The sequence below is a fragment of the Homo sapiens genome, chromosome 14 (assembly GCF_000001405.40).
Source record: "Homo sapiens chromosome 14, GRCh38.p14 Primary Assembly".
Lineage (NCBI taxonomy): Eukaryota > Metazoa > Chordata > Mammalia > Primates > Hominidae > Homo > Homo sapiens.
The window spans coordinates 99,147,414-99,162,275 of record NC_000014.9 but is presented as its reverse complement, the minus strand read 5'-3'; positions in this window follow the sequence as shown (position 1 = coordinate 99,162,275).

Below are 14,862 nucleotides of genomic sequence, written 5' to 3'. Positions count from 1 at the left end.
GTGTGTGTGTGTGTGTGTGGCAGGGTTTCACCCTGTCACCCAGGCTGGAGAGCAGCGGTGGGATCTCAGCACACTGCAACCTCCACCTTTCTGGTTCAAGCAATTCTCTTGCCTCAGCCCCTCGAGTAGCTGGGAGCACCTGTAAAGGTGCATGCCACCATGCCCAGCTAATTTTTGTATTTTTGGTAGAGATGGGGTTTCACCATGTTGGCCAGGCTGGTCTCAAACTCCTGACCTCAAGTGATCTGCCCACCTTGACCTCCCAAAGTGCCAGGATTACAGGTGTGAGCCACCATGCCTGGCCTCCATTGTGTTGGTGATGTACATTGAACATGGTTGTTTTGTTGTCTTGCTTAGCCCATTCCATTCGTCCAAGTTCTCCTGTGTTTTCTCCTCTGAGGACTCTCATGGATCTGATTTTTTAGTGGTTTGTGATTTCAGATTGTGAGCTCATCTTTGTGGGTTTCTCTGGGGTGTGTCTGATGTGTCCTGGTTTAAAAAATATCCTTCGGTGCAGTTTCATTGCTGCTTCTATAGTTGCTGAAGGCCTCTGGTTGTTCTGGAAAGGGAGTGTAAATCTGGATCCCACACATTCTGGCCCCAGTGCCTTTTCCCCATCCTACGGCTCAGGTGGGCAGCCCTCTTGCTTTACCACTTCCTAGTGAGTGTAGCTTTTCTTGTCCTGTTTTTACTGATGGAGAAGCTCTTCAAAATCCAGGCTTTATGCAGGGGGTTCCATTCCAGGTTCCCAGCCACACATGGACTTGTGCCCATATGGACATTGGAGCTCTCATCTCCAGTTCCATTTCTGGGTCTGAAACCCATGAACTATGAAGCCAGTTCTCCTCACTCTGGGTTTGATTTCTCCAGCTTTCAGGGATTCTCTTTCTTTTGTGGTTGGATATCTATACACATATTTATTAATGTACACACACATATACATATTGTTTTATGTGTGTGTGCATGTATGTAGCTACAAATAAAATGGGATAAGTGTTTGTGATATTTTATCCTTCCAGAAGTCTTGTCACTGATTTCTAGGACTTAGCAATGGAAAAGAAATATCTGCCTTGGTAAGTCAGTACATTTCATTTTGGATTGGAGCCACATAACTTGTTGCATTTTCCTTTTTTGCTGAGACTGCTAGGGAGCTCAGTGTTCGATTTAATGGTTAATCATAGCCACAGTATTAGTTTGAGATTTTTTTTTTAAGAAATCCTTTCTCCCATCTATATTATTCTTGTTTACCACTATGATAGCTTTATTGTATATGTAATCTTATTGTAGCTTCCATAGTATGTCTTAGAAGATGCTAAGGTAAAGAATGATTAATAAATAAAGAGATAACTCCCTCTACACTACAAAGCCATTCCAGTATACTGCTTGTGCTATGTCTGAACTTCCCTGACTGTGATCAGTCACAACTGTCTCATGACAGCTCTGGTCTGCGAGATTGCACTGCTTCAAAACATCTTGTGTCCTGTTTTCTCATGAGCTTAGAAAGTTTAGTGCAGTGAAAGGAAACTGGCATTTCTATTTGGACACACCTGAGGCTGAGTAGAAACCTCAGCTCTGCCTCTTACCAGCTAAATGTGTGGAGTCTGTAATCTCTCAGCCTCAGTTTCCTTATCTGTAAAAAGGGGACAAGGATCTTTATGCCACAGAGGTCTTGAGAGGATCAAGCAAGAAAATGCAAACAAGGTACCTGATACATGAAAGCTGTACCTACAAAATTCCATTTGCCTTCCCTTTCCCTTTCTACTTGTGATTGCCATGTTCCTAGAAAGTCCCTGACCCCACCCCAGGCCCCTCCAGCCTCTTTGCCCCTGCTTCCCACCCCCTCCCCAGCCCCCACACTTTGTAGTGAACTGAGAACCTTTGGCCTTGCCCGCTGTTGGTAAAGGCTCACTCCATGCCCTCTATGCCACCATGCGTGTGCCTCAGGGGAGCCTTGCCTGGCATTGTCATGGAGACATGCACTTGGCACAGCCCTGAGAGCCTGGCAGCTGGGCAGGGGTGGCTGGCATGTGAGGAGGTGGGCTGCTACGTGGCCCAGCCTGCCCCTCACTCTCCGGGGCTGCTGGAAGACCTGGCAGATAGGAGCAACTGGTGGGGCCTCGTCCCCGTCTGTTTTCCCGCCTCCCTCTCATGCTCGCTTGCCCCTCTCTGCCCTGCTTTCTCAGCCTGCCTGGCTGCCTCTCCCGGAGTCTCCCTGCCTCTGTCTCCAGCTTGGTCTCTGGTCACTTTCCCGGTCTCTCCTTACACTCTTGCCTGTCATCGCCTTTCCTGCCTCTGTCTGCTCTCTCCTGTGTGGTGCACTCGGGGCGCTCACCCTATGAGACCCTGGTCCTCCCTGCCCAGCACCCCACCCTGGCTCATTCCCAAAGCTCTAGGAAAGGAGGAGACCCTGTCCAGAGGCCTGGCTGCCTCTTGGAGAAAGCCCCACAGGTTCCTGGAAGACGTGGAGCCAGAAAACCTTATTAGTCTGGTCCTGCTCACACTTTCACTAGAAGAATCCTTATTAGCAGTGCTAGTTAAAATGCAGATTCCCAGTTTGCACTGCTCAGAGACTCTGGTCCATAGGTCGAGGGCGGGGCCTTGGAATGTGGATTTTCAACACAACTCCTGAGAGGTCTGATTCAGGGGTTTTCTGGGCCACATGCAGGAAGCTCTGCGGGGGTCCCAGGGCTGCTTCTCTGCCTGCGCCCAGGCAGCTGGGGCCTCCTGGCTCCCTGTCTACCACTCTTCTTGAGGCTTCACTCCCAGGGAGGCTGACAGGCGACAGACTGAGAGGCAGGAAGAGCCCGCAGACTCAGGGCTCCGGCCAGAGGTGGTGGTGGTGCAGTGCATGAGCCTCGGGCTGGGAGTCTTCGGCCCTGTGTCAAATCCCAGCTCTGGCCGCTGTCCCCCAGGTGACAGGTCCCATAACTTCCTGTCTCTTTCTCTGCAAATTATGGTGGACAAGACATCTCCACAGCATCTTTGGGAGGATCGATGAGGTAACGAGCAAGGATGGGCTCTGAAGAGTTTATGTTTCTAGACATGTATCCAAAAATGAAGAATGTGTTAAATAAACAACCAAAAAAAAAAAAAAACCAGTGATGGCAACTCCCAGCCACTTCATCTGCCACAAAGCATCCCTCAGATGAGCCCTGCTGTCCCCCGGAGCACTGGCAGCTTCTTTCCAGATATTTGCCTTTCTTTGTGCTCTCCTCTCCTTCAGGAAATCTTGTCCCTTCCCGTACAAGGCCCAGCAGGACTAGTGGTTCCAGGTCCCCTCTGCCCTTCTCCTGGACTCCTCACATCGCAGACTGTGTGGTGCTTTCTTACCTCTAGGCATATCTGCCCTGGGCCCGTGCCGTGTGGCTTTTAGCATGACAGGTCTGGAGAGCTTAGAAGTGGGAGAAGGAGGTGGTGTCCTGCTGTGCTAGGTGGGGGCACACCCACCTGCGGGGTGTCCAGAACCCTAGAGAATCAGCCATTCTCTCCCTTACTATTAGAGCAGCATGGCAAAAAGGGGTTTCATACCAGGAAACAAGAGCAAACCAGGGATTTTCTCTGTGGGCTGCAAAGCAGGCAGGGCTTTGCTTTTGTCATGGGACCTTCCTTTCCCGGCCCCTTTGGGTTCCTCCCCAGTCTGGCCACTGTCTCCATTCTGGGCTACTACAAGAGCTTCCCTCACAAATCCCTTGGTTTTTAGCCTCAGGGAAGCTCTGGAGCCAGACTGACCTGGTTCGGAACCCCTTTCAGCCTCTTCCTATCTGTGTCTCAGTTTCCATTCTGTGCCTCAGTTTTCTCATCTGTAAAATGTGGATAATAACAGAACCTCCCTCCTGTAGGGAGATGACTAAATAAGATATGGCATGCCAAGGGCTGAGAACAGTGGACCCAGGAGGCACCTGCTATTTCATGCCAGCTGCTGTCACAATCTCCAAATTCCAATGACCTGACATCATAAGGATTTGTTTCTTGCTAGTGTCACAGTCCCGTAAAGTGGTGGACAGCTTTCCACGTGGCGTTTCAGGGATTCTAGCTCCTTCTGTCTTGTTTCCCTGCCATCTTCTAGTTGTGCCATCCAGTAAACTATTTAAATTTAAAGTAATTAAAAATCCTCATTAAAAATTCAATTCCTCAGCTGCACTCTCCACATTTCAGGTGTGCAGTAGCCACATGTGTCTTGTGGCTATCAGATTGGACAGTGCAGACAGAATCTTCCATTCTTGCAGGAAGTTCCATTGGTGAGTGCTATCTAGAGTCTCCTTGGGGGTCTCTGCTGGGTCATCGGCATTGAGCCATTCACAATGGAAGACATGTGAGTCTCATGCAGGGCTCCCCATGGGCCAGGCCTGGAAGTGGTGAGTATCACTTCTGCCCTGCCTCCTTGGCCAGAAAGCCCTGAATTAACCTGACCCCAACAGAATCAGAGGGCTTCAGCATGGCGCTCAAACCCTTCACAACTGGATCCAACGCATCTGTCCATTTCCCATCGCCATTCCATCCTTACAGCCTCATCCCCACAAGCGGGTGAAGGAAAGAGAGAGCGCTGGCCATTGGCATACTGTGAGACCTCTCAGAAGACTCCGGTACTGCGTTTCTAGAATGTTCAGCCAACTTCCCCTCACATCTCATTGGCCTGAAGTGGGCCCCATGGCCATTCCTGAACAATTCCATGGCCAGAAGAATGCCCCGGGCCAGTTGGCTCTGCTGTTGCACGTGGGAGAAGGCTGTGGGAGACTCCGGGGAGCAAGCCACCGGGCCCCGGCAGTGCCCCACCTATGCCTGCTGCTCTGCTGGGCCCTGGAGGTACAAGTCTGACCTTGGGATGGTCTCTGATGCCAGGGAGTTCAGAGCCCTGTAGCAAATCCTACCTGTAAATGAGAAGGTGCCAGCACTGGGTACATGTGAGCGTTGGAGGCAGGGCACTGGGGACTGTGAACTGAATGGTATGGGATCTCCAGGCACCGTCCCTTGGGGCCTCATGAACCTTGATGGTTCATGTTTAGATGCTCTGACGTTTGTGCTTTTGAGATGAGTGGTCATCTCCGATATTCCAAAGGAGTAAGAATGACTCTGCTGGGCCGCTGCTTGTTTCTCTCTCCTTTTTCATTCTTAGCTCCCTCGGTGCTTCGTTTTTTCTTCACCCAGCCTGGCCTCCCTTGCTTCTCCTGTCCTCCCCTGTGCTGGGTTTTAGCATTCCAGAGGCTTTTTCACATTTCTCCCCACTTAACGAATGCAGAGTGCTTTATTTATTTATTTATTTATTTATTTATTTATTTATTTATTTATTTTGTCAGAGGCGCCCAAGCATTTAGCAGTTACCAATGATCAACAGTACATTTTGCAAACAAGTAATAAATTTTAACAGCAATTTGTCTACGAATTGTGACCTTTTGATGATGTATTTGATTTTTCCTGAGAAGTTGAACTTCTTTGTCATCCAAGTTTGATTCATATTTTAATTTTTTTAAAAGCAAATGGTGTGTATAACACATCGCAACATTGAGCTGATTGCGAATGCTATTTTGGTTGCAGTCAATATTTCTAATTTATGCCGTTCGAGATACACAGGGAGCCCCTGGCCCGCTTTGCTAACAGCTGCAAATCCACACATCTCTGCCCCTGACATTTTATACTTTGCAGTTTTCTTAATGTTATATGGATTTTTTTTTTAAAGGAAGAATAATTATGCCAGTGCCTTTTAATGATGCACCTTTAACCAAAGATAAAACATGTCCTTGCTTCTCTCCATTCTACCCTTTTGGCCTGGGTGTTGCAGATCACTTTCCTATGGAAAAGGTTGTCGACTCTTTGAATCCCCCAACTGGCACATTACTTTGTGTTAATTACCTTAGGACGAGAGAGTGGCTCAGAAGCAATCATCTTTGTTTGTTAACACACACTAGCTGCGGCACCACTCTCCATAAATAAAACATAACCGAGATTACAATGTCACGTTCACCGGGACTTCAGACCCCGGTAACTGCCCTAGTAGGATGCACAAAACATCCCCTGGCAGCTGGGTTCCTGGAGATGTGGTGCAGTCAGGATGGCTTCTCATTCCTCAATCACCCCGTGCCCACCAGGCCCTAGCTGCTCTGTAATCCCCTGGTGTTCTTCTGCTGGTAAGGCTGGCAGGAAGCTGACATTGTTTCTCCTCTAACTTAAAAGGGTTAGGCTTGTCAATATGCAATGGTATTTTTAGCCACTTGGAAAAGGTTGGAGTGGACTAACATCACGCAAAACAGTGGTCAGGAATTTAGCATGCATGAATTGTAGAAATATCTAAAGTGATGCTTAGACAGAGATCTCCATTTATTTATTTGTTCATGCTGGCTTCTTGTTACACCCACACCCACACACACACATGCACATAAGGAAAAAAGAGAGATGGTTACTGAGAAATATGTTCAATAAATTAGAACAATATGAGCAATAAGATTAGGGCAAATGCCAATTTGAAGAGAAGAAGTAAAATGAAAACTCTCAAGGCACAGGGTTCTAGAGCTTGATTTTCAAGTTTGGCTCAGAGCTTCCCAGCTGTCAATGGGAAAAGAGATATAATGAGTATCGTCATCAGTGTGGAAAGAACCACAGTAGTTCTTCAGGAGGAGCAAAGTGTTTCCTGGCACTTTAATCTGAAAGCGGTTTCTCTTATGGGTCCTCATATGGAGTTGTGTTTCTCAATGGGTGGCCCACAGCCCACTGGTGGGAGGTGACAGACTTCTGGACAGTCATAAACTGATGAAAATGCACATTCAGAATCCAGTTCTTAGTAGTGAGTGATGCACAATCCTATTTATTTTTGTTATTATGCATGACCGATGTCTACCTCGTAGTAATTCACTGAGTTACTACAGGTTACCCAAATATAGTTCTCATAAATCAGTTAGTGCATTACTAGAGTTTACCAAGAACTCTATTTTTAGCATTCTATCAGGAAGTCTGACTTCCTGGTAATATTGCAAAATCCCTGGCAATATTCTTGGCAAAAAACCTCCTAGCCAAGAACGTAGCCAAAGAGCTCAAATTTCTTTAATTTTGAGGACTTTGTTCTTACTGAATTATCAATGTGGTCTTGAATTCATGTGGTTTTTAATAGTTTCTAGTATTATATTCATAAATATATTGGTAGAAGAGCTTTTAGGTTTTAATTTTGTTCATCTTTTTTTTCTTGGTAATTGCTTTGGAAAATGGACATGGGTAGGGTAATGAATTGCAAGATAATTTGCTCCACCTAAGCAGATCTCAGACAGAGGAGTTGAGAATCATTTATAAAAGGGACCACGGTAGGCCTCAACAGCATACCTATAGCCATGTAGTTCAGGAAGAGAATGTAGTAATCCTACATGTGTGTGTACCTAGAAACAGAACTTTATTTTAAACTACATGCAGCAAAACTGAGAAAATTAAGAAGAAAACTAAATCTACAATTGCAATCAGAGATTTCGATATTTCTCTCTTGATACTTGATGAAACAAATAGAAAATGAATAAAAATGTAGAAGATATCATTTTCAACTAACACTATTAACTCACTGACCTACTTGACATCTAGATAACACTTCAATCAACAAAAGCCAAATGCACATTCTTTTGAAGAATGCAAGAAACATTCACCAAGGCAGATTATATTTTGGGCTACGAAACAAGTCTTAATAAAATTAAGTGTCTAAAAATCATACAAATAGGTTTTCTGACTTTAATAGAATTAAACTAGAAGTCAGTAACAAAACGGTATCTGAAAAATCTCAAAATATTTGGAAATATCATACATCTCAATAATTCATAGGCCACAGAATAAGTCACAAGGAAAATTAAAAAATATTTTGAACTGAATGAAAATGTAAATAAAACATCAACATTTATGAGATACAACTAAATTAATACTTAAGAAGAAATTTATAGCATTAAATGCTTCTATTAGAAAAGAAGGTCTCAAATCAGTGATCAAACCTTCCACTTTAAAAAGCCAGAAAAAAGTAGAGCAAACTAAATAAAAAATAACCAGAAAGAAGAAATAATAATTATAAGAGAAAAAAGCATTGAAATAGAAAACAGAAAATTAATGGAGAAAATTAAACCCCAAATCTAGTTTATTAAAATTTTAATAGAAACTTGATACGTCTATAGCTGGACCAACCAGGAAAAAAAGAAGAGACACATGGTCAATATCAAGAATGAAAGAAAGGACATCACTACATATCCTGTATACACTGAAATAAGAAAAGAATACTATGAACACCTTTCTGCCAATAAATTCCACAATATAGATGAATGGACAAATTTCTTGAAATACACAAATTATGAAAGCTCACCCAAGAAGAAGTAGACAGCCAGAATAGTGCTATATGTATTAAAACAATTGAATTTGTAGTTAAAAACTTACTCACAAAATATCAAACAAACTAAAAACCCTCAAGGCTCAGCTGTCTTCACTGGTGAATTCTATCAGCCATTTAAGAAAGAAATAATATTAATTGTATACCAACTCTTCCTGAAAATAGAAGAGAAGGGAATAATTTAACTCAAACCATTCGAGATGTTACCAGAAAAGAATACTGCAGACTAATATCCCTCTTGGGCATAAGTCCTTAACAAAATTTTAGTGAATTAAATCTAGTAATATATAAAATGAGAATGCATCATGACCAAGTGGGTTTTATCCCAGGAATTTAGAAAAACCAATTAACGTAATTCATCATGTTAGCAGACTGAAAAAGGATAGCCATATGGTCATATCAGTGTGTGCAGAAAATATATTTGACAAAATCAATACTGAGCAATGATTAAAAACTCTTAGCAAACTAGTTATATAAAAAAACTTCCTAAATCTACATAAGCTTACAGCGAGCATCATACTTAATGATGAAAGACTGAATCCTTTTCCTGAGATTAGGAACAAGACAATGATATCTGCATTTACGTTTTATTCATCATTATATGTGAGGTCCTAGATAATGCCATAAGGAAAAAAAAAAGTAATAAAAGGCACACTAATTGGAAAGAAAGAAATAAAATGGTCTTGCTTCACAGATAGCATTATGTTCTACCAAATACCAAAGAATATACAAACAAGCTACTAGAACTGATAAGTGAGTTTAGTAAGGGTAGAGGATACAAGGTCAATATACAAAAGTCAACTGAATTTCTACAAAATATCAATGAACAGTTGTCATTTGAAAAATTTAAAGACAATATCATTTATAATTATATAAAAGATACATTTAAAGAAATAAATTTATGGCCGGGCACAGTGGCTCACTCCTGTAATCCCAGCACTTTGGGAGGCTGAGGGGGGTGGATCACAAGGTCAGGAGTTCGAGATCAGCCTGGCCAAGATGATGAAACCCTGTCTCTACTAAAAACACAAAAATTAGCTGGGAGTGGTGGCACATGCCTGTAATCCCAGCTACTCGGGAGGCTGAGGCAGGAGAATTGCTTAAACCCAGGAGGCGGAGGTTGCAGTGAGCCAGGGTCGTGCCACTGCACTCCAGCCTGGGTGACAGAGTGAAACTCTGTCTCAAAAAAAGAAAAAAAGAAAGAAATTTATCAAAAAATGCCTGTTTGTACACTGAACACTACAAAATATTAGTGAGACAAATCAAAGAAGATACAAATAAATAAAAATATATGCTATGTTCATGGATTACAAGACTCAATATTTAGTCTCCTTACACTTAACTGAGTATATATTCAAAGCAATTATCATTGAAGTTCCAGCATAATTTTAAAAAATGGAAATTGAAAAGTTGATTCTAAAATTTATATAGAAATACTAAGGACCTAGAATTGCCTAAATAATTTTTAAAGATTGGAATACTCACATGACTTGATTTCAAGACTTACTGTAAAGTTATAATAATCAAGACTGTTGGTATTGGCATAAAGGTAGATTTATAGATAATGGACTATGATCTAGAGTCAGAAATAGAGCCACACATATACGTTTACTTGATTTTTGACTAAGGTCCCAAGTCAATTTAATGAACAAATGAATATTCGTATGCAAGAAGAAAAAAAAAGAACCTCAGCCATTACCTCCCCAGCTGGAAAATTAACTAGTCAAAAAAATTAACTCAAAATGAATTGCAGGCTTAAATGTAAGAGCTAAGATGATAAAAGTTCTAAAGAAAGTGTAAGAAAAATTCATGACCTTGTATTTAGCAAAGATTTATAAAATAAAACACAAAATACATGAACTAGAAAATAAAATAGATCAGCAGATTTCAAATGTAAAATATTTGCTTTTCAAACGACCCCACTGAGAAAATGATGAGGCAGGCACAGGTTAGGAGAAAATATTTGCAAAGCACATATCTAATTAAGAACTGGCATCCAGAATATTAAAAAATAAAGTCTTACAACTTAATAATAAAAGACAAACACTAAAATCTAAAAAGCATAAGATTTGAAAAACAACGATGCCAAAGAAAATATATAAATGTCAAACACATGAAACGACGCTTCATATCATTAGTCATTAGAAAAATGTGAATTAAAAACAGAAAGAGAAGCCACTATACACTAAGTATAATTGCTAACATTAAAATAAAGACTGATGGTAGAGTGCAGTGACTCACGCCCGTAATCCCAGCATTTTGGGAGCCTGAGGTGGGCCGATAACTTGAGCCCAGGAGTTCCAGACCAGCCTGGGCAACATGGTGAAACTCTGTTTCTACAGAAAATACAAAAATTATCTGGGCAAGGTGGTGTGTGCCTGTAATCTCAGCTATTCAGGAGGCTGAGGTGGGAGAATTACCTGAGCCCAGGGAAGTCGAGGCTTCAGTGAGCTGTGATCATGCCACTGCACTCCAGCCTGGGGGACAGAGTGAGACCAACTCCAGAAAAAAAGACTGACAATAAAAAGTGCTGTAAAGGATGAGGAGCAACAGGGGCGCTCATATATCACCGTGAGAAGGCAAAATAGTGCACAGATTTGGAAAACACTTTGGCAGTTTCTCATAAAGTTAAACCTAGCAATTGCATTCCTAGACATCTGCCTAAGAAAAATTTAAACATAGGCCCACACAAGGGCTTTTCCCTGACTTTACTCATGATAGCCAAAAATCTGGGAACACCACAAAAGTTAATCAGTGGTTGAATAGATGAACAAAATAGAAGACCAGCCAGCAATAAAAAGTAAGGAACTATTCAAACATTCAAGAACATGGGTGCATCCCAAATGCATTTTGTTAAATGAAAGAAGCTCAAGACTCTATATGTGTTATTTCGTTTATGTAAAATGCTAGGAAAGGCAAAGCTGGAGTGATGGAGAGCAGACTAGTGGATGGAAAGGTGGCTGGAAGGAAGGTACTGCCTTAAAAGGACACAAGGGAGCTCTTGCGGGGTGATGGAAATGTTCTATGTGATGAATATAGTGGTGGTTACAGGACCATATACATTTGTCAAAACTGACCAAATTGTACACTTAAAATTGGTGAACTTTATTGTCTATAAATTATATTCACTGAGGCTGGTTGAAAAAAGAGAAAGAATGCCTACCCTGAATTTCAGATGTTCCCAGGAGAGCAGGAAAGGTGCAGAACTGGGGAGAAGTCTGCCACTTGACAAGCTTCCAGGCAATTTTAATTATCACAAAGAATTAATATAACAAATGTTTTGATTAAGTTGCTGAATGTGAGGACTTTGAACCAGAGCCATGGCAGACTCACTAAGCAGCCATGCCCTTTCCTCAGGAACTTGGTTGTTACCTCAAAATCCTTCTCCGTTGATTCCTGCAGCCACAACAATTTTATTGGATATAGCCTTGAAAAAGAGATCATCTCTAGATCCATTGCCTTACACACAGAATCCTGACACATCTGGACAAATTGGGCCTCGGTCTTCTCCCCCTCCAGGGGGTTGCAAGTCTATTTTGGGAGGAGGACCCTCAACTGGATGCCATGGGGCTCCCTGTGACTCACTGGGAGCTACAGATTCTCTTCATTCCCATCATATGGATCAGAAACACTTTCCCTAGCAAGGCATGTGACTCCACTATAGGATACAAACAAGTTTCTATATCACAACATTATTAATTCACAAATATTTTTATAAAGCTGTATTTGAGGATAAGGACGAACGCTTTCAGCCTACTTACCCATTTCAATGGGAAAGGCAGACTTGGCAGGCTAAGGTGATGTTGGGAGCAGCACTGTTTCCAAGTCCGCAGCCACAAGAGGTACAAGATGCTCTTCACTGACTTACTGCTTCCTAGACACTCAAAAAAGTCTTACTTTTTTACTTTTTAGAATAATTATTATTGTTTTTATAAAATAACAATGTTCATTATTTAAAAATTTTAAGCAACACATGAAAGTACAAAGATAAAAAGCAAAGGAAAAAAAAATTGCAACCACCACAAATCCTGTCATTTCCCCACCCCCAAAAAAGTATCATTAACAAAAGTGACCATCATTCAAGCATCCCTTTAGAGTAAATCAGATGAATGAGGGTCGCTAGACATGTTTCATGGCAAGTCTAGAAAAGATCCTTCCAAGAAAAAAAAAAGATCATTTTTAAACAATCAAGAATTTGGAGCCATTATATTTTTTAGCAATATTCTTTTTATTTTATTTTATTATGTTTGAGACAGGATCTCACTCTGTCACCCAGGCTGGGTGCAGTGGTGCAGTAACAGTTTACTGCAGCCTTGAACTCCTGGGCTCAAACCATCTTCCCATGTCAGCCTCCCGAGTAGCTGGGACTACAGGCGTGTGCCACCACACCCAGCTAATCTTATTTTTTGTAGAGACAGGGTCTGGCTATGTTACCCAGGCTGGTCTTGAACTTCTGGGCTCAAACAATCCTCCCACCTCAGCCTCCTGAAGTGCTGAGATTACAGGCGTGAGCCTCGGCTCCCGGCCCCATCCACTTGCTAACCCACTCTGCGCTGGCTTCCTGTCTGAAGCAGTAAGTCAGTGAAGAGCATCTAGTTCCTGTCTGCTCCTCTCTGAACGGTCTCTCGGCATCTCCAGTGACCCCCTCACTAAGTCCAGTGGCATTTTCCACATGTGTTTGACGTGCTCTCGGCAGCGTTTGACCGAATGGGCCACCTTCCTTCTTGGAGTGCTATCCTCACTTGGCTTCCGGGACCCTACACTCACTGGCTTCCTCCCACTCTTTCTCCCTCTCTTGTCAGGGATAACTCCTTTCACTCAGTGGTTCTGAACCCGGGGACTCATCGGAATAAAGAAACATGGCCCCCGCGCCCAGCCATAGGAGCTCTCCTGGTGTGGCCACCTCTAGCCTGTTTGGAAAACGTCACTGCTGCATCCCGTGCCACACGCTGCTGCACACTGCAGGGTTTGCATCTGCTTCTCTCTCTCTCAGGGACGGGCAGGTCCCTGGGCTTCTGCTTCCCTGTGTTCTCTCCTCCCCAGAGCCAGTCACGGGGTTCTTGTGCCCAGGAAATTCTCAGCAGTGTGTCCTCCATGGGTATAGGAGGAGAGCGTAGTGAAGGAAGCATGGAATTTGGGAGTAGCCAGACCTGGGCTCAAATCCTGACCCTGCCGTCGATCAGCTGTATTATTTCAGGCCAGCCACTTCACCTCTCTGTGCCTCAGTTTCTTCCTCTGTGTCACACCTGTAACACAGCATGGTTACGGGAATGAAGCGAGAGGACATAGTGAGTGCTGGCTACACAGTATGATTCTTTCCTTCCCCATGCCTGAGTAGATGAAGTGAGGTTGTCAGAGTATCGATCTGGGTCCTGGCGGGGAGCAGATGACACTCAGGAGGTGTGACTGCAGAGGGTTTAGGAAGGGGAGGTTTGCGAAGTTATGGGCGAAGCTGAATGAAACCAACAAGGGCTGGTGAAATGCCCCAGGGCCAGCAACGGTGATGAACAAGGGGCGATGTGGCCACTGGGACCTGGAGAGAGCGGCTGGAGAGGCTGACAGGGGCTGCATCATGGGAGCTGTGTGGCCTTTGGCAGGGGGTCCAAAGTGAGGCCCTTGCACACATTCTTTCCCTGTCGCCCGGCCAGCCCTACTCAGCTCTCTCTGCCCCAGGGGCCTCTGTGTCCCTCAGGTGTAGTCCGACAAGGCCTCCCAGGGCATGGAACACACCTCCACTCCCACCTGCTCTGGGGAGCCAATGTCAAAGTCATATATATATATATATATATATACTTTTAGATCACAAAACAAAAGTTTATTGTTTTTTTTTTTTAAATGAAATTTGGCCAGGTGTGGTGGCTTACACCTGTAATCCCAGCGCTTTGGGATCCAAGGTAGGTGGATCACCTGAGGTCAGGTGTTCAAGACCAGCCTGGCCAATATGGTGAAACCCCGTCTCTACCAAAAATACAAAAAATTAGCCAGGCATCGTGTCATGCTCCTGTAGTCCTAGCTACTTGGGAGGCTGAAGCATGAGAATCCCTTGAACCTGGGAAGCGGAGGTTGCAGTGAGCTGAGACACCACTGTATTCCAGCCTGGGCAACAGTGAGACTCTGTCAAAAAAAAAAAAAAAAAAAAAAAAAAAAAGAAAGAAATCTGATATGGAATCCAAGCACCTAATATAAGAAGTATCATAAGTGTGATTTATTAGTGAACATTGGTTTTGTAAGTTTGCACTGATGGTGTTTACCAATCCCAGCGCTGGTGGTGGTTCAACTGTGGCCAGAGGTTGGCAGGAGCTGTGGCAGTACTGGAGGTTGGAACTCACCGTCAGTGTCTTCAGCTGGACAGAGCTGATCTTAGGACCGGGGGAGGCAGGAGGGGGATCTGGCTCACGTTTGCTGAGGGTGGTTCAAGGGAGGCTCTAGGAGAAGCTCATGATGAGATGGGCTCTTGCAGGATGAGTGGGAGTTTGTCAAGAGAAGATGGGATTGGGGGGAGATGAAGCGGAGGGAATGGCATA